The sequence below is a fragment of the Homo sapiens genome, chromosome 6 (genome assembly GCF_000001405.40).
Source record: "Homo sapiens chromosome 6, GRCh38.p14 Primary Assembly".
NCBI classification, from domain to species: Eukaryota; Metazoa; Chordata; class Mammalia; order Primates; family Hominidae; genus Homo; species Homo sapiens.
Genome location: NC_000006.12, coordinates 54,864,095 through 54,885,373, shown reverse-complemented (window position 1 = coordinate 54,885,373; position 21,279 = coordinate 54,864,095). Strand labels below are relative to the sequence as shown.

The 21,279-nt window shown below is 36.4% G+C and overlaps 1 protein-coding gene across 5 annotated transcripts in view; it reads right to left on the bottom strand.

Annotated features, from left to right (window-relative positions):
- FAM83B (family with sequence similarity 83 member B) overlaps nucleotides 1-21,279 on the bottom strand; it is a 98,897-nt gene that overhangs the window by 59,726 nt on the left and 17,892 nt on the right. For 4 of the 5 annotated variants that reach the window (XM_017010478.2, XM_006715022.4, NM_001010872.3 and 1 more), the window contains exon 2: nucleotides 14,684-15,187. In XM_017010478.2, the coding sequence (XP_016865967.1) occupies nucleotides 14,684-15,127 (444 nt within the window). In that variant the 5' untranslated portion in view covers nucleotides 15,128-15,187. Of the gene's footprint in view, nucleotides 1-14,683; nucleotides 15,188-16,657; nucleotides 19,378-21,279 lie in introns of those variants that run through there. The other variant, XM_011514395.3, reaches the window with a different exon arrangement.

Genomic DNA, 21,279 nt, shown 5'->3' with positions numbered 1-21,279 from the left:
AACAAATAATTAGGAATAAATCAAACAAATGATATGTGAGGCCTATACACAGAAAACAACAAAATTGTACAGAACAAAATTAAACATAACTTAATAGAGGAATATACCTTGTTCCTGGATTAGAAGACTCAATATTGTAAGGTTCAACTCTACTCACACTGTTCTATAAATGCAGTGAAATCCCAATCAAAATCCCAACATTATTTTTTTTTTGGAAAGTTGACAAGATGATTCTAAAATTCCTACAGAAAAGCAAAAGATTTAGAGTAGCCAAGGCAATACTGAAAAAAGTATTGTTACTGGGCCGGGCGCAGTGGCTCACGCCTGTAATCCCAGCACTTTGGGAGGCCGAGGCGGGCAGATCACGAGGTCAGGAGATCAAGACCATCCTGGCTAACACAGTGAAACCCCGTCTCTACTAAAAATACAAAAAATTAGCCGGGCGTGGTGGCGGGCGCCTGTAGTCCCAGCTACTCGAGAGGCTGAGGCAGGAGAATGGCGTGAACCCGGGAGGCGGAGCTTGCAGTGAGCCCAGATCTCACCACTGCACTCCAGCATGGGCGACAGAGCTAGACTCCGTTTCAAAAAAAAAAAAAAATACTGGAGGACTCACTAGCAAATGGAGAGGCTTACAGTAATAACCAAGACACTGTGGTTTTGGCACAGCAATGATAAGTAAATCAATGGAATTAGAATAGAGTCCAGAAATATACCCATATGTAAGTGGTCACTTGAGTTATGACACAGCAGTAACTGCATATTCATATGGAAATCAAAATGGACCCTGGCCTCACATCATATGAAAGACAAAATAAAACATCTAGAGGTCAATTAAGGATAACATCTTCTTGATATTGGGGAAGGCAAATATTTCTTTTTTTTTTTTTTTTTTGAGACAGAGTCTCACTCTGTTGCACAGGCTGGAGTGCAATGGCGCAGTCTCGGCTCACTACAACCTCCGCCCCCCAGGTTCAAGCAATTCTCATGACTCAGCCTCCCAAGTAGCTGGGATCATAGGCATGCGCCACACACCCAGCTCATTTTCTATTTTTCTCTTTTTTTTTTTTTTTTTTTAGACGGGGTCTTGCTCTGTCACCAGGCTGGAGTGCAGTGGCGCGATCTCAGCTCACTGCAACCTCCGCCTCCTAGATTCAAGCGAGTCTCCTGCCTCAGCCTCCAGCATAGCTGGGACTGCAGGCGCACACCACCATGCCCAACTAATTTTTGTATTTTTTGTACAGACGGAGTTTCACCATGTTGGCCAGGATGTTCTCGATCTCTTGACCTCGTGATCCGCCCACCTTGGCCTCCCACAGTGCTGGGATTAAAGGCGTGAGTCACCATGCCTGGTCTTCTTTGCATTTTTAGTAGAGACAGGGTTTCCCTATATTGGCCAGGCTGGTCATGAACTCCTGGCCTCAAGTGATCTGCCCGCCTCGGCCTCCCAAAGTCCTGGGATTACAGGCATGAGCCACTGCACTCAGCTGCAAGTATTTCTTTGATAGAACACAAAAATAGCTAACCTTAAAATAAAAGATTAAAAAATTGGGCTACACTGAGATTAAGAATTTCTATAAATTAAGAACTCCTGTTAATCCAAAAAAAAAAACCATTATCAGAGTGAACAACTAAGCTATAGAAAATATTTGCAACATGTGTCTGACAAATAATTCATACACAGCATAAAAAATTATTTCAAATAAATTTAAAAAGAAAAATAACCTAGTTTTAAACAATCGGCCAGGTGCGGTGGCTCACGCCTGTAATCCCAGCACTTTGGGAGGCCAAGGAGGGCAGATCACCTGAGGTTGAGAGTTCGAGACCAGCCTGACCAACATGGAGAACCCCCGTCTCTACTAAAAATACAAAAAATTAGCCAGGCATGGTGGTACATGCCTGTAATCCCAGCTACTCGGGAGGTTGAGGCAGGAGAATCACTTGAACCTGGGAGGCGGAGGTTGCGTTGAGCCAAGATTGCCCCATTGCACTCCAGCCTGGGCAACAAGAGTGAAACTCCATCTCAAAAAAAAAAAAAAAAAAACTTAAAAAAAAATCACTAAAAAATCATGGGTCCTATGAGAAAATGAAGAATATATCTCATCTTAAAGAACAGGTATAAAATGACAATAATGGCTAGGCATGGTGGCTCACGCCTGTAATCCCAGCACTTTGGGAGGCCAAGGTGGGCGGATCACAAGGTCAGGAGATAGAGACCATCCTGGCTAACACGGTGAAACCAGTCTCTACTAAAAATACAAAAACAAAAAAATTAGCCGGGCGTGGTGGTGGGTGCCTGTAGTCCCAGCTACTCAGGAGGCTGAGGCAGGAGAAGCTCCCGGGAGGCGGAGCTTGCAGTGAGCTGAGATCGCGCCACTGCACTCCGGCCTGGGTGACAGAGCGAGACTCCATCTCAAAATAAATAAATAAATAATAAAAAAATAAAGTGACAATAATATAGAGGATGACTAACTGAAGTCTGGTAAGGGAATCAAACAAAGCTTTCCCAAACAAGTATAATTTAACATGGATTTTAAAAGATGAATTGGAGGCAAAAAGTTGGGAAAGAATGCTCCAAGTAGGTAAATAATCATGAACAAAAGCAGGAAGGAATACTTCTGCAGTGGAAGGCCCAGAACAGGTCCAGTAGCCCTGGAGTGGAAGTAATTGAGGGAGGCAGGAGATAAAGCACAAAGCCTCATCATATACTCCATGCTTATGAGTTGGAGTCCATGTGGCAGATAACCAGGAATCAAATGCAATAATACTGGAACAAAAGCATGGTTGTGAATGTTCAGCTGGTTTGCATGGAGCCTGCCTGGAGTGGTCTATCAGAGGTAATACACCATAATGGTAAGCCCAAGCAGGGTCTGTCTGAGCCCATGACCCAGGCTCAAATACCAGACCTGTCATTTTCTACTTCTGAAGCCTAGAAAAAATTATTTTTTTATTCCTCACCTCTAAAAAAAGGGCAATAAAGGTATCTACGTTAGAGAACTGTTGTGAAGATAAATGTGTTAATACATCAGTATATATAAAATGCTTCAAACACTGCCTGGCACATAGCATTAAACATTAGCTGTTACTGGTGTCATTAACAAATGTATTTCTCCTACCCACTAGAGAAGCAACATGATACAATAATCATAGAATAGAAGTCCAGATGCACTATGCACAATAGCAAAGACTTGGAACCAACCCAAATGTCCAACAGTGATAGACTGGATTAAGAAAATGTGGCACATATACACCATGGAATACTATGCAGCCATAAAAAAGGATGAGTTCATGTCCTTTGCAGGGACATGGATGAAGCTGGAAACCATCATTCTCAGCAAACTATCACAAGGACAGAAAACCAGACACCGCATGTTCTCACTCATAGGTGGGAATTGAACAATGAGAACACAGGGACACAGGGTGGGGAACATCACACACTGGGGCCTGCCGTGCGGCAGGGGGAAGGGGGAGGGATAGCATTAGGAGATATGCCTAATGTAAATGACCAGTTAACGGGTGCAGCACACCAACATGGCACATGTATACATATGTAACAAACCTGCACGTTGTGCACAAGTCCCTAGAACTTAAAGTAAAATAATAAAAATAAATAAATAAAAAAGAATAGAAGCCCAGATGCCTGAGTGCTGTCAGTCCTTATGGTCACCAAATGGGTGACTTTGGACTTTCTCAATTTCTCATTGCCCAATTGTAAAAAGACTACATGATCACAAACCTCAGATTTTATTTTTTTTTCAGTAACTGCTCCAGAATTCAGCAGGTTGAAATATGACTACTATGACTCAGTTTTTTTTATGATTATAGATTTTTTTCAGCAGCGTATATTGGATTGATATTTAGCCAAATGACAATGTTTTCCCTTTCATGTTTATTTATTGCCTGTGTTTGAGTTCAAGGAAGAAAAAAATTCAAAATGTGATTATTAATATGAAATTAATACAGCCCAAAGGAAAGTTCTCATTTTCAAAAGAAAATGTACAGTTACCAATTTTTCTTACTGATGATTACACAGAAACAGTTATGAGGCTTTCTTCATTTCTGAAGGAATATTACCATGAGACTCTCACCATATCAGCACTGGTATGCTAAGAGGTAGAGGGATGAGTAAGAAATGGGTGGAGGTGGCAGTAATGAAGGAGTATATTATCACTAATATTATTTACAATTGTCAGCACATGCTCTCAAAAGCAGACTGCCATCTAGTCAATCTTAGTGTTTTTAAATTCTGTGGGAGACACAGCAGCTCCCACTGTCCCCTATTTTGTTATGCCATTGCATTTCAGTACAAGAAACCAATTATTTTATTGTAAGAAAAATCCTAAGTGAAAAAAGACAGGAGGCAACTTTAAAAATATTATACAACATATGATCTCAAATATAACACATCTGAATCTTCTATTTCAGGGATTTATATAAGATATCAAAACACATACACATTCACTTGTGTATACATGTATGTCTCTATTTATTTAATAGGTAAGAAAATTTCTAACATCAATAGCAGTGATTATCTCTACTGGGAGATTATGATTGCCTTTTCTTAACCCTTTCTTGAATTTTTCCATATTGACTATAAGGAATGTATGTACCCTAATAATAAAAAATAAACCTTCGACTGGGCGCAGTGGCTCACACCTTTAATCCCAGCACCTGGGGAGGCCGAGGCGGACAGATCACGAGGTCAGGAGTTTGAGATCAGCCTGACCAACATGGTGAAACCCTGTCTCTATTAAAAATACAAAAATTAGCAAGGCATGGTGGCGCACACCTGTAATCCCAGCTACTCAGGAGGCTGAGGCAGGAGAATCACTTGAACCTGAGAGGCAGAGGTGGCAGTGAGCCGAGATCATGCCACTGCACTCCAGGCTGGGCAACAAAGCGAGACTCCGTCTCAAAAAAAAAAAAAAAAAAAAAGAAACCTTCTATATATACATTTGTCGCACTAGTAAAACATATTTGCTAATAAATATTTTGGAGGTATTTTATCTGTATCATATTTTTGCTACTTTAAAATTTCAATAATTGTCTCTATAATCCTGATACTTAAAGAGTAAACAGGTGGAAAAAAATCCAGATCCCATATAACACAGAGATCATTCGGGTGATGCCCATAAGCACACATGATTTTACCTATATATTTCCTATGAATCTTTTACCATATCCCTCAAATATTAGACTTTAAATCACTTGAAGTGGGCTTTTCCCCCCATCTGTATGAATTAGCAGAGTGCCTTGCACATAGCTGGGACTCAATAAGCATAGGTAGACTTAAACTATATGTAGATTGTTAAAACTTTTTTTGTACAGAAATAAATTTTATTAGCTTAAAATCAGATGATTAAGACATCTTAAAAATAGCTTTAAAACAAAAAAGGACTTTCCTTAAGATTCAGAATTAAGTAGTTACATTTACATTCTATTCTAGTAGGAAATTGAAGATATATTTTCCCCTTGAAAAGACATTTTGTTTGCTATTGGACGTCAGCTTCAGCCTATTGTCAGCTTGTTGCTGACCATTATCCCAACGCCTGTTACAACCTGTCTTACATTCTTCTGTATGTGTTAACTAACCAAAACACAATATTATTATGTCCAAAATCAGATTTCACAACATCACTGTCACTAAAAAACATCTCATGACTTCCCACTATTCTCTTCCACAAGGTTTGATCAAAGGACCTTCACAATTTGGCCGTAATCAACCTCTCTCAACAACTCTGCTTTCCTTTTTTTCCACCCTACTCTACTTCTCTCACGCTCCCCCGCTGTCTGAAAATGCCCAGCTCTCCACCATACATCTCCTACTTATCAAAACTATCCATCTAAATGGCCTGTTAAAAAAAGGGACCTCCTACGTGACCCCTTCCCAGTTTCTCCTTCTTCCACTCACCTGACCCAGCATAAAGGAATTGCGAAATAATTGCCTGTAAAAGTTTGTTTGAAAAGACTAAGTGTTGGGAGGTTCTGCTTCTCAGCAGGGTAGATAATCTCCTGTTTTATTAGGTCCTGGGACAGCATCTAATCCGTCATGTTCTTATCTCATATTCTGTATTTACCCACTCCTTTGCATCTGAATCTTATCCAAGTTACTTACAACTAGGTCCTCAGGGTCAGGACTGTTCTCCAAGTCAGTCTATTTGGGTTCCAATGTGAACCCTCATCTAGAGATACTTAGACATGTGTGTTGCCAGATGTCAGTGACTGGGGTTACGGATCAACCATCCAAAGGCTATGGTGAAGTCGTAACTTAAAAGTCCCCTTAACTCAGTCTCTATGCCTGCTTCCTGATCCCAACTTTGGGGCCTCTGACACCAACCTCAAATGACAATACCATCACTCCAACTGCTCAGGCAAAAAATGTTGAAGTCGTCTTATGTTGTTCAACCTATTTCACATCCCATGTTTCACTACCTTCAAAATATACCTAAAAACTAGCCATTGCTGCCACCACCTGACCATCTAAGATACCATCACCCCACACCTGAATTATTTTAGTAATATCTGATATGCTCATTCTTAGTCCCCTACAGTCAATTTTCAATATTACAGCCAGAAGTATACTGTTAAAATATAGCAGGTTTAAAATTGATGTCTCTCTTTTGCTCAAAATTCTCCTGTAGATTCCTGATTTACAGGAATCATAGCCAAGTTCCTTAAAATGGCCAGTGGGGATCCCCAAGATCTAGCCTCCATGTTTCCTCTCTGATGCATCTTCTACTCATCTCCTCTTTGCTGTCGGGTCCAACAACTGGTCTCTGCTCTTCTTCTAAAAAACAAGAAAGCTTCCCCTATGTCTCCTGTGTTCTGCCCACAAATACATGCATGGCTTATTCCTTCTTTTCTCAAATCTTGGCTGAAATGTCACTTTGTTAAGGCCTACTCCGAGCACCCTATTTAAAATTGCAAACTACCTTCCACCACCACTCTCAGCTCCCTTTACTCAACCATATTTGTGTTTTGCTTCTTCCTGCTAGCACTCCTTATTTATTAGTTGATTAACCCCATTTGTAGGTAAACTTCATTCAAGGGTACGCAGGGTTTCTTTGGTACTTTAATCACCTATGTATTCTCAGAACTTAGAATAGTATCTGATACATCATTGGCACTAAAAAAATAACTGCTAAATGAATAAATGGCCTGCAATACCTTTAACCTATAAGGTTGGCCAAAGACTTACTGATTTCCCTCATAGCTGAACCCAGCAGAGGCCAAAGGACAACTTCATTACCTGATTCTCCTTTTCTTCCTGCTTCAAATTTACCTTACCTTTGAACTCAGAAACGCATTTCCTTTCAGTGCCTCCTGGCCTGGTCTACATTCTGGGTACTAGCACCTCATCTACTTATCATTAACTTTTGTCAGTTCCAGGTGAGTGACTTCTGACTTCTAATAACAACCACATGATACTTTTTACCTGACTCATTTAGAAATCAATGCTTCCACATCTACACCCACTGATCTCAATCTTAGACCCTCTCAACCAGGTCTTCAAACACCTCCGATTAGGAATATGTAATCTTTACCACTTTCTAGTTATGAGCATTTTGGTTTCATTCTGCTTCATTACCGCTGACCAACCTACCACGTGAACGCAGTATTTTTCATCAGTAAAATGTGGATAAAAGGACACACTTCACAAGGTTACTATGAAGGTCAACTTAAGATAATGCATGTAAAGTGCTTAGCACAGTGCCTAACATGTAAGTGCTCAATACATGTTACCTGATATTGTTACTAAATTGCATAATATAAATTCATTACTCAAAATCAGATGTGAGTTCCAGTCCTTAGGATAAAAGTCGCCCAACTTTTTACAAGATAATTTGAAGAGTGACTAGTTAAATAAATCAATAATTGATATAAAAATATATGCCACATGATGGATCTGTAGCAACTATAAGACAGCAGGCAGAATCCTTAAAATGCAAAATGTCAGTGTGTCAAAATGTCAGCACTCATCATCTCAAAAAGGCTCCCATGGCAAACCTTCATGACTTTTTACATCTCATTGAGAGGACAGACAAGTAAAGTAATATCCCCTTATTTTCATGAAAGTTAACTTTTGATAAGATGCCTCAATGTGTACCTAAGGTCCTAAGCTTATCACCTCTATAACAAATGCCTAAAGAATGCCTTAAGTCTGGTCAAGTTATCTCTTCTTCCATGTTCCTTTCATTCCCTATTGGACTACCATCTGCCCTTTCTCCTTTGCAGAGTTTTTGCAGTTATTTTTGTGGCTTAGCCCTGAAGGCATCTGAGTGTGTAAAACTGCTAATTTCTACCCCTCTGGAATTTAGGTGTTTAGGCATTAGGAATTCTCAGTATTTTATGACAAGGTTTTATGATGACAATTAGCTTTGCCATTCCAACAAACTACTAAAGGTGTATCATCAGAAAATATTACACATTTCAATAAGTAACTGTTTGGTTTTTATTTTAAACCAGAGACAGGAAAGAATGAGTAAACATAAACAATCACAAAAAATAAACATTCTACTTCAGAGATCCCCAAATATATAGAACTACATTTTGTACCATAGTCAGTAACACTACCTCAAAGCTCAGAGGACTATACACACCATGTGCAGTACCTACAAAAATTGTTTCTCACTGCTTATTTTATATATATATATTTAAAGAGAGAGAGAGAGAATTTAAAAATACTAAAGAGTAATAGCTGACTAAAGGAAATAGTCTCAAAAACATTTCTCCCAATCAAATAAATTATATGCACTCCAGCAGGGTGCGGTGGCTCATGTCTGTAATTCGAGCAATTTGAGAGGCTGAGGCGGGTGGATCACCTGAGGTCAGGAGACCAGCCTGGCCAACATGACGAAACCCTGTCTCTACTGAAAATACAAAAATGAGCCGGGCGTGGTGATGGGTGCCTATAATCCCAGATACTAGGGAGGCTGAGGCAGGAGAATCGCTTGAACCTGGGGGGACAGAGGTTGCAGTGAGCCGAGATTGTGACATTTCACTCCAGCCTGGGCAAAAGAACAAAACTCTGTCTCAAAAAAAAAAAAAACAAAAACATATATATATATATATATATATATATATATATATATATATATGCACTCCTAAATAACTTGCATTTTAAATTATTTCTTTCCAACTATTAATAGAGGTATTGGTTAGTATTAGCAATGCAAAGACTCTGATAAACTTACTGACACCCATAAGTAACTGTATTTTTTCTTTTTAAAGCTAAATTCTTTTCTCAGTTGTCAATTTTTAAATAAAGTCTCTTAAAAATACAAGTCACTGAGGATCCTTAGACTTTACCTGATAATACACTGCAGAGTAAAACATCTGAAATTTCTAAGTTACTGACGACTTTGGTGTGCAACCAAGTTGGAAGTCTCATATAACAATTTCATTTTCATTTTTTCATACTTTTTTAATTTTTTGCTTCAACAAACATAAAATAGATATAGAATGTGTTGTCTCTCTGTATAGCACCACGAGTTTGTTAAAGACAGAGTACTGCCATACAGACACAGCAATTGTTGGCAGGATGAAGTCAGTGCAATTTTAACCAGATCTTTTTCTTTCTCTCTCCTTCCCTCCTCTCCTGTCTCTTTCCCACCTTCTTTTCTCTCCCTTTCTTCCACCTTCCCTCTTCCCCTCCACCTCTTCTTCCCCACCTTCTTTTCTCTCCCTTTCTTCCACCTTCCCTCTTCCCCTCCGTCTCTTCTTCCCTCTCTCTTTCCGTCCTTCTCCTCTCATGCCCTGTCTCTCAAACATACACACTCAAACATAAATATATATTAACATGTAATGCATTTTATTCACAGAAGAAATGTTCAACTTAATGTCCCAGGATAGTAATGTCATTAAATTTGACTAAGCAAAATATTATTTCCAAGAAGAAATCAATTTTGACTCAAATTCAAAGAATGACAAAATTCACGGTGAGAGTTGGGACAGGGATAGGGTAGAGAGGAAATTCTTAATAAAAATTAGGAACATCAGGACAGAGACCATTCTAGTCTAATGAAGGCACAGATAAACATATAAATAACACTTAGCTGGGCAGGACATGGTTGCAAAGGGATGCGGATGAAAGTAACATATCACGACACAATAAAAATCATTTCTATCACGAACTAATTCAACAAGGAATATAACATATCAAAATAATCTTAAGTTGGTAAGCAGTATTAGAGATTTGGATAGGAACACCAGATTTAAAAAATGTGAAAACATTTTTGCTTCATATCTTTTCCTAAATAAATGAAGAAACTTGAGGAGGTACAATGACTTGTTTAATGCCACGCTAGTTAGAGTCCTGGTGACAAAGTCTCTATTCTAGTTCTACTTTTATAATATCAGCTCACTCCCAAGAAGATTCCCCATCACCTGTTCATCTTCCTCTTTGCATCTGTGGGGCCAACTGATGGTTAATATTTCTCTATATTACTAATACCTCCCAAGGCCATAACAGACACACCCAGGAACTCAGTAAGTGACTCAGTAAAGAACCAAGCCCTGAACTCAGGTAATGTGGTATAGAGCGCATCAGGAATTACTCTGTCCTAATTCTCACTAGACTTTTGCTTATGTGTCTTGATCCCATATTTCACAAGAGTAAGATTCACATCTCACAAAAAAAGCTAGCCTAGAATTAGGAAACAGAGATGCAAATAACATTGTGGTTAAACATTCAGATATTCAAGACTCTCAGAAGTTATAACTTTGTAAATACGTACCACTGAGTGGCTAGGAAAAAAAAACTTTAATGAAAGAAGACTTTTTTAAGTAATTAGAGGGGATGTTTTCATAAGAGGAGTTCACAGTAATTAGGAATATGTGCATATATCATCTTGGGAACACTTCTTGACAGACAAATAATTACCTGGGAAAAGTCTGGCTAGACACTATCAGACTTTGCAAAGTAAAGTCTGACCTAAATGTAATTATGTCAATCACAAAGTGAAAAATAGAAAGGGTTTCAAAAAAAGAATCAGTAAATTAAAATATGTCCCTTTAGGGCACAAGTAAGATATTATCTACAATTGAATTTTCCCAAAGGAAAGTTCTCAAACAAAATAAGCAAACATACAAAAGAAAGAAATAAAACAAAACAAATAAACAAAAAATATCTAATCAATTTCTAAGTGATAATTAGCAAAAATAAAATTAATAAGTAAAAAAGTATAGATTTTTGAAATACTATAAAGATCACATTCTGCTTATAAAAGCAAAATGATCAAGAGCTCATTTAACTATATAACTTAAGCTAGAAATGAGAGCATATAAATTACTGAAATTCAAAAACAAACACAAAATGTTTCACCTCTTTCCAGTAAAGACAGTTGAGATTGAGAATCATTTTTAATTCCTTTCATAAGAGACTGGAAGGTTAACTTGGTGCTTATAATCAGACTTCAAATGTTTGGGCCTTTAAGCAGATAACTTTTATATTATTTTCATTAGTTTAAGATTTTTCCATAAAATGGCATTATTTTCACAAGTACCTTATCTCAACTGCAAACACAAAAGTGAAAATGGATTTAAATTCTTATCTGAGATCTTTTCCTGGGTTCTGTTTTGACGGTGTCTAGTCCTACTGGTTTGGCTTCATATCTCTGTAGAGTTTTACAGTGTTTATTACCAAAAGATTCTCCCTGAGATATTTAGAAGCAAAAAAAAAAAAAAACTTTATCCATTAAAATATACATTATCCAAATACTTTATGAAAAAAAAAGATCATCCCTTTACAATGCCATGACAATTCACTGAGTTACCAATAAAGATAAATTACCCTCTGAAAAAAATTCAAAAACAGAAAGCTTATCCTGATGACTATTAGGCTCCCATTGATTCTGAAAGATAATAAGAGCATGACATCTGTTGAGTAAATGATAGTCATGAAAACCACATTTAATCTTTAAAAAGCAATGTGTTCTGGTAAGCTTTTATTTCATATTTGTTCTTTTAAAAATTCTTCACAGGACCATGTCCAGTTATAAGCTAAATAATCTTAATTTTTTAAAAATGGGGTCAATAACTTTTTTCCCCAGATTACTTAATTCTTCAAAAATCTTTAAGTAGATATGGCGACATATAAAGAATCTTCCAAAATAATTGAGAAATACATATTCCATGCAAAGATAACCAATTTGACTTCAATATTTATTGCATCTGGGTAGAAACTAGCACAGTCCCTAACACCTTAAAAAATAACAGCTGGGTGTGGTGATTCATGCCTATAATCCCAGCACTTTGGGAGCCTGAGGCAGGAGGATCACTTGAATCCAGGAGTTTGAGACCAGCCTAGATAACATAGGGAAACCTTGTCTCTGTGTTAAAAACAAAAAATAAAAAAAATAAAATAAATAAAATTAAAAACAAAAACCATGTGCACCAAATCGAAGTCGTCTGTTATAATTTATATTTGGCAGTATACTCAGTTTACAAGATCAAATAATTCTCTTCTTTCAAATTCAACTTAGCTATAGCTATACAAGTAGAAAAAAGATGCAATTGTCTTTCTTATTTGTATGCCACATTGATTTTATGAAAGAGAAGCACACATCACATTACTGTTTTACAGTATGGACTTCAATTTCTTCAGCTCGCTAATTCAAGTGGGAGTCCTCAACGGACAGTGACCGGGTAGAAGATATTACTTTTAGAGGCTCATTAAATACAAAGCTGCCACATTAGAAAGAAAAATACATCAAAAGATCATGACTAATGTTCGGTTCCCAGTGGGTGCTAGCCCAAAAACTTATGATATCTCCTGAATTAACATTTTGTATCACAATAATGCAATGTCCCAAAGGAAACTAGCTATCACGCAGGGTGATAAATGCATTACTAAGTTACTACAATAAGAATCTTCATCTTCACTGATGTATTTTCAAAAATGGATTTCAATTTCCTGTTAACATTGTGCTTCAAAAGCATATCATGTCACCAAACAAAATCAGCAAACATTAATACTTGATATTTATTATTTTGCCATTACAAAGACTCACATATAGCCTCAAATTTTGTACTGTTGCCTTACAAAATGCAATTGTATAATTTGTTCACAAGGCCTAAGATAGCGCTGTTTAAAAAAATATTCATGGTTCAATTCAGAAAGCTGAATGACAGTTCAATTCATTCAATAAAAGTTTGGTCACTTACAGTGAGCCTGATTCTATAGCTAATTTTTAACAACTGGAATGGATTAGTACTTTATTTAATATAATACTGTTAAAGGAATTAATACAGCTGAAAAGACAGGTTATTTAAACTCAAAAGGTTTAGGGAAAAAAATTACCTCATTTTTACAAAGCTTGCATTTGACATTAGCTTCAGAACACTGTGTCTCTCTACATTATTGTTAGCCTTTTAGTTGCCTGTCTTGCAAACTGCCATGTCACTGAGGAATTCAAGGGTCTTATATTGACGTACTTCATAAAAGCATACTCTTGCAAGCATTTCTGTGTCTTATTGGCATAGAAGAAAGCAATGTCATGCGTGTGTGCTTCCTAAGGTTCCTTTTAGATCTAAATTTTTGTATCACATAGTCATAACTAAAAAATGCACACTTTATAATTAAAAATTGTAACTTTTTGCCTATACTTTTTTTTTTTTTTTTTTTTTTTTTTGGTGAGACAGGGTCTCGCTCTGTCACCCAGGCTAGAGGGCAGTGGCGCAATCTCAGTTCACTGCAACCTCCACCTCCCAGGTTCAAGCAATTCTCGTGTCTTAGCCTCCTGACTAGCTGGGACTATAAGCACTCGCCACCACATCCGGCTTATTATTATTATTATTATTATTATTATTATTATTATTATTGTAGAGACGAGGTTTTGCTATGTTGGCCAGGGTAGTCTCAAACTCCTGACCTCAAGTGATTCGCCTGCTTCAGCCTCCCAGAGTGCTGGGATTACAGGTGTGAGCCACCACGCCCAGCCTTGCCCATACATTTTAAAACTCTAGATTGAGCTTGGCAAATTTTTTTGTAGTCTCCAAAGTGCCCACCATGGTGCTGAGTAGATACAAAACTCTTAATAACTTTTGTTGCTTGATTAAAGAGTCCTACAGTTTTACCCAAGTTCTAAAATAAGATCTGTGAGATGTATAAGTCAATATAAATATTTGATAAAGAACACCAAAGCCTTAAAATGCTAAATATCTCAGAATCTTGCTTTAGAATTTTACATTATTATGTTGATTTTATACTGTTTCCACACAACTCAGGAAAATAGATAAGTAAACATATGGTTTATTTAATAGCATAAAGCACATTCAGAGCAAGAATTGGTATTCAGTCCTGTTAAAAACAAAGAAAACTTCACCATATCCACCAACTACTTCCTTTCAGAGAAGAAGAAAAATTTAGGTGCTTTAAAATTATGAGTGTTGAGTAATCTTATTCCTAGTCAACATACCTCAGTCTTCTGGGAGAAGAGATCTCCTGAGTACATTATTAAGAAAAGGAAATCTCTTTTCTTTAGCAGAGACCTAATGCCACTCTCTTGGATATATGCAAGATATAGGAAATACAACCTTCCTGTGTATCCATAGGTACTTTCCTAAAAACAATAGGCATGGCCTATACATATAGAGATTCTTTTATTAACATACATATTTGTGTTATTACTCTCTCTACTTTTCTACATGTTTCAAATTTTTCATTTCAAAATAGAAATGTTATTACCTTTCTTGCTTCTTTTATCATCTTCCGAATAGTTTCTTTTATCGTAAGTAGATGTGCTCTTGGTGGATGAAAAAGGAGATCTATATGGGTGCCCCCTAAGAGTCCGGGCATCACATATGGCCAGCCTAAGTCAAGATTTGGAGCTTCCACATCAGACTCAACAGGCCAGTAGGTCCCTGAAGATAAGGTATCATCACAGGAATCATCAGTACCATGTGCTGTGCTTTGTGCAACTTTCTGGACATTTTTCAAAATATAATTAATTTCTTCCTCAGCAAGAAAGTCTGAAACTCGTTCCTGGACAAGAAATTCTTGGTATGCTTCTAACCCGTGTTCAATCAGAATATCAATGGCTACTCGATACCATTCCTTGTAGTGAGGCTCAATGTAGTTGTCAGATTTACACTCATCATTCAATGAGGAAAGCATTGATGAGGTCTCCATGCTTGCAAGTGTTTGGCTATGGCACTTTCAAATGTCCATTCATGCAGTGGTGAGAAGTATCTGGTATTTGAAAAGAAGAAAATCAAGATCAAGTTAAAATTCGGTAACAGAATGTTTTATGATACATATCAACTATTATTTTTTCATTTACACATTTCCATTACCAGAAGCTCAAAATGACACATATTTCATATCCAAAATGACATTAATAGCACCACAATTCACACATCTATCACAAATAAGCTACACAGATTTCCCTTACAGATTGCTGTTGGATTTTCCTTTTCCAAGGTATCTCAATTTAAATTAAAAGAGAATTAGAAAACAATCAATGCCTACCCAGCCATTAATGTCTCTACTGAGTACCTGTCAGGCATACAGAATATGCTAGATGTAATGTTAAGAGCACAAAACACTGGTCTTTCAGGAATTTATTAATTAGTTGAGGAGGCAAATTGTACGCAAAAAACATTACTTACCACTTTGAAGAAAGCCATACATTGCTAAAGGCCAAAATGAGTAATGCCTATATTCAGTGCTTTAAGAATAAAAGCAAGTAGAGATCAATATGGAGCAAATGAGTTATGAACAGCCCTGAGCAAGAGGTGGGCTTCGGCTGGACCCGGAGCAATGAGTAAGAATCTGATCAGGTGGCAAGAAGAAATATTTCCATCCCATACAAGGATAAAAACATGAGCAAAATCACGGAAGAGATATGAGAGTTTGGTACATTCACTAATTATGAAGGAAGAAAAAAATTAAAGAAAAAAAAACCTGGCATGCTGGAAAACAGGTTCCTTTTAACAGGAGTAAGAGATAAAATTGAATAGACAAGATAAAGCCAAGAATGGACGGACACAAAGTTTTGTGATTCAACAAAACTTCTGTTTGAAACAATTCTGGCAGTAGCAGGGGACTGAAGAAGAGACAGGTAGCTAGGAGAGTGTTTCAGTGTTCAAAAACGCAGTGAGGAAGTGGACAGAGTATTCCAGAGATGGTTTAAGGAAGGAGCCTTGAGATTCAGTGACTGGACAGAGTATACGAGATGAAATTTAAGACATGAAAGATAATTCAGAAATTTCTCTTAGGAGTCAAAATCTGCCTATGCAGGCTCACATTCCATCTCTCACAATGCCCACAGAATGCTCTCCATTCAATCATTCAGTCACTACTCCACACTGTGTGAGATACTGGAATGGGCTCTCTCAATCAGATGATGGACTTTCCAGTCTTTTGAAGTCATGATCTCCATTGTGTGGATTCAAGGTACAGATTTATGATGTGCTATAAGCATTAAAAAGATAACTTGGAGCATGGAACACAAAGGGTGCCTCCATTTACCATCTTAGTGGAGACAATCCTGTTCCTATCTCTGGGCTCAGAAGTTTTACAAAGAAAGTCTAACAGTACAGAAAGCCCAAAGATTAAATATGATACAGGAATAAAAATAGAACATGTTCTTTTCTGTCTTTTGGAAAGCCCTCAGCTTGAGTCATAATTTGATCCAAGCCCAGACAACTAGAACTATACCTGGATCCTAGGCTCCACAGTGCAGCATCTGAACTTTGGGGATGGCAGCATCTGAATTCTGGTGATGGCAGTCTTCCTGCCCTATAGTATAATGGTGAAGTTTTGCAAAAATATTCTCTTCTCCAAGAGAAAAAGGAAGAACACCCATCTTGTCTGCTAGTATAAAAGCTATCGCATGGGGAAATAAAATTTCTTTTGTTACTTAATTAAAATTAATCTATTGACATGTATTGGGATACATCCTAAAACTTTCATAAATTTCTCAATCATTCTAGGATATGTCATCTTTTTCCCAATCACATTTCATTCAAGTTCAGTGGTTCTCAAAAGGGAAGATTTGTCCCTCATCTGACAACATCTGGAGACATTTTTAAATAGAATCACTTGTGCGGAGGAGGGCTACTAGCATCTAATGATTAGAGACCCAGGATGCTGCTAAACATACTACAATGCATGAGACAGCCATCCATATTTAGAAATAATCCCACCCAAAATGTCAACAGTGCCAAGGTTGACAAATCTTCATAAAGTTGCTCACTTCATATTCATGATATCATGCCACTAATTAATAACTTTCAACACTCATTGAAGTTCTCTTTTGCACATAATGCTCATTGTTAGCAAAAAAAATTAAAAAATAAGATTTGCATTCACTTAAAAGACTCAATCCTTATGCTTACAGTTTCCTAAGGTTTATTGAAGTACAGTTTTCACTTGAAAATTCCAGCCAATGAAGGAACAAGTATCTGGTGATTACATGATAAATTACATCTGTAATTTGTAATTGTTAAGTCATAGGTAACTACTAGTTGTTCATAATCCAAGTTTCCTGCAAACCTATTCATTTAATTTTTAAAATGTAACTTTTGAATTCCTATATATGTGATGTTAAACACCTGTTACCTATTTGGAAGTTAAAATGCATAAAGTACTTTTAAAATACTACCTATTTCTGAGCTACACCTATGCAAATAAATATTTTGGAACTGTAAAAAATTCATTCTGGAACTATGTAAACTCTGAAATCACAGACCTCGAAAGGACCATGAAAACCAAACCATGAAAACATAGATAAATTAATCTGAAGAAAAAAATTGGAAATAAGAAGTGAAACTTATTTATAATTAATTACCATTACAGGACTAATCGATAGCCAGATACCACACAGAAAAATATATTATACAAAACATACAACAGAATGAACAATGAGGTTACAATATTATGTACAAGACTTAAGATTACTACTAAATATACTTTATATTGTTCTGGTGGAGAGGCTATGTTCCAGCCACGGTTTAGAGATATTTATCATAAGAGCTATTTGCATGGAATACTTGTGAAGGAACCATCTATAAATGAATTTTATCAGAGAACTACAGGGTAATGGCACTTGCATAGTGAGTATTGCAATTAAATATCACCTGTATTTAATTATAGACTTAATAAAGCACTCTCAGCAGTTCAATCCCTGAACATTTGGAGGGCTTTATTTGAGGACAAAATTAATTAGGTGTGCCTTTAAATATATATATAAAAAATAAGGAATTATTTTATTAATAACTATTAAAAACTCCCAGGAAGCATATTCTTTTATCATACACAGTAGAGTTAATGAGTAGAGAAAAAAAAAAAGATATCACTATGCCATGTAAGCTGAGCAGACCATTAGGCTTATCTAACAGTTAAATGACTCATTCCAGAAAAAAAGTGGCCTTACAAATCCATGCCTCAAAAAAAATTAAAAATTGCATTTGATATTGAGCTTTAGGGTCATTTGTATCAAGTAGAAATTCCACTGAAATTCTATAAATACAAAGGATATAAAATAAGTCATAAAAATTGCTTTCAATTCATGGGCTGCTCTGGAAAAACAGTTTGGCAGTTTCATTTATAAAATGACACATGCAACTAACATACAACACAGCAACTGCACTTTGGTGATTTATCCAAGAAAAGTTGAAACTTATCCTGTACACAAATATTTATAGCAGCTCTATTCATAATAGCCTGACAATGGAAACAACCCAAACGTCTTTCAACAGGTGAATATTAAACTATGGTACACCCATACTGTGGAATACTACTTGGCAGTAAAATAAATGGCCTACTAATACATGCAACAACCTGGATGACTCTCCAGAGAATTATGCTGAATGAAAAAACACCAATCTCCAAAGTTTACATGCTGAATAATTCCATTTGGTTAGATGCTGCACTCTTAAAATGACAGTCGGAGAGGTAGATGTGGCTATAAAAAGGCAATCAGAGGAATTTTTGTAGTTATAGAAATATTCTATATCTTGACAGTATCAATATCAGCATATTGGTTACGATACAGTATTATAGTTTTGCAAGACAGCAGCACTGGGGAAAACTGGGTAAAGGATACAAAGAATCTCTCTGGATTTTTGCCCTTAACTATATGTGAAACCACAATTATCTCAAAATAAAAAGTTTAATGAAAAAAATCTTACTGATGAGCAATGTCATGAGACTTAGATAGAAAAAAAAAAAACCTATAGCACACAAGATAAGAGTTCATCTGTAGGGTCAAATTGCCAGGTTAAAACTCTGCTTCATCAATTACTATGAAGCTCTTGGACAAGTTACACACGTCCACAAGCCTCAGTTTGGGCAGATGTAGAGAGGAGAATAACAACAGTCTTTATCTTCTTGGGTTATTTTAAGGAATAAATAAGGTAATGCATTTCAACCTTATTATTATTATTATTATTATTATTATTATTATGACTATTTTACATGTTCACAATCTGCTATAGTATAATTACTATAAATATGTAATAAATTTGATAAGAGATTTTAAGATTTGAAAAGAGATGTTTTTTCATACCATTAGCAATATCATACAATTTGTAACTATTTAATCATCTGCAGTATAAAACAACCAAACCTAGTATCAGTTTGTTCCTAGTTTCTGACCTGAGAGAATTCATTGAATAGGCTTCTGATGTAATAGGTCAGTGGGAAAATGTTCCAAAGAGAAATTACAGCTTTTTTAAATCAAAAGTCCGAGGCTATAATTACCTAATGTGCAAGCCAATAAACCAAAGTCAGAATTTTGACTGAAACAAATATAAAAAATATCACAGGTGCTAACATCACTGCAGTCCATTTTCCAGTCTCTCTCTTAAGCTGTTTCTCTCCAAGTATTGAATGCTTTATGAGTTGCACTACATCCTCCAACAGGATATGTCGAAGTCCTAACCTGCATTACCGGTGAATGTGACCTTACATGGAAATAGGGTCTTTGCAGATGTAATCAAGTTAAGATGAGGTCATATTAGACCATGGCTGATCCTAATCCAATATGACTATATGACTTGTGTCTATAAGGAGAGAGGGGACACAGAGACAGACACAAAGGCAGAACTGCACGTGACTACAGAGGCAGAGACTGGAATGCCAAGAATTGCCTACAAGAACAGAGATAAGAGAAATGCATGGAACAGATTCTCCCCTAGAGCACTTCAAAGAGAGCATGGCCCTGCTGACACTCTGATTCCAAACATCTAGACTTCAGAAGCATAACAGAATATATTCAGCTGTTTTAAGCCAATATTTTTGGTACTTCGTTACAGCTGCACTAGGCAGCTGATACAAATGCGTACAAAAATGCTTTTATTTTGAAACCTTCAAAATTTTTAAATAAACTTAAATTACCAAGTAAATTTACCATTTAGAAATGATTGGTTTTTGCAGCTTAAATGATATAGTTAAACTAGTTATCTGATATAACTTCAATGTTAAGCAATTTTATTAAGAAATACTTTGCAAACTCTCATATATTGAGGGAAAAAATTCTTGAATTTGTTATTTCTTTTGGTAATTGACTTTATGATATGTATCAAAATGTCTGTCTACATAATGTAAGAAAATGTTTCATAAAGGATTGTTTCAGAACATCTCTTTCATATAAAATCATTACCCATGGTCCACAACAGTTGAAAATCATATATCTTTTCTTTCTTCAGCTGTCAAGATTGTTTGTCTTCTCATTTGATTACCAGAAATTTAAGATAACAATTAAAACATGAAAGAAGTTTCTATTAAATTAAAAATTGACTATAATATTCAAGCTGTCAAGTGCAATTTGATATCTCATGTTGACATCCAAACTCATTAAAAAATTCTAAGCTGGCTTCATAATAATACTTATAACAACATGGCCCAATAGCACAGATTACAGTCATCTGCACGGCATGATATTCAGCAGGTCACAGAAAGTATAAATACATGACGCACTCAGTCACAGGGTGTTGGGTGCAAACATCTCCACAGATGGATTACCAGTAGAATCACCCATCTTATCAAACTCATAAAAACAATAAACATACTTCCAATTCATTTTCTAAATCTCAAATGGGAATCCCATTTGCTCAATACCTACTCATTCTTTAATTTCCTCAATTTACTTTAACTGGAGGGAGGGGATAGCAATATCACTTTCATACCAATATGATTCCAGGGTTTGTTTGTACTGGCTGCTATTTGCCTTCTTAGATATAAACTACAGGAATTTTAGATATTGGGGGAAAAAAATACCCAATACATGTTAATGACATTAAAACACAATTATTCAATGTCATTTGGAAGCATTTATT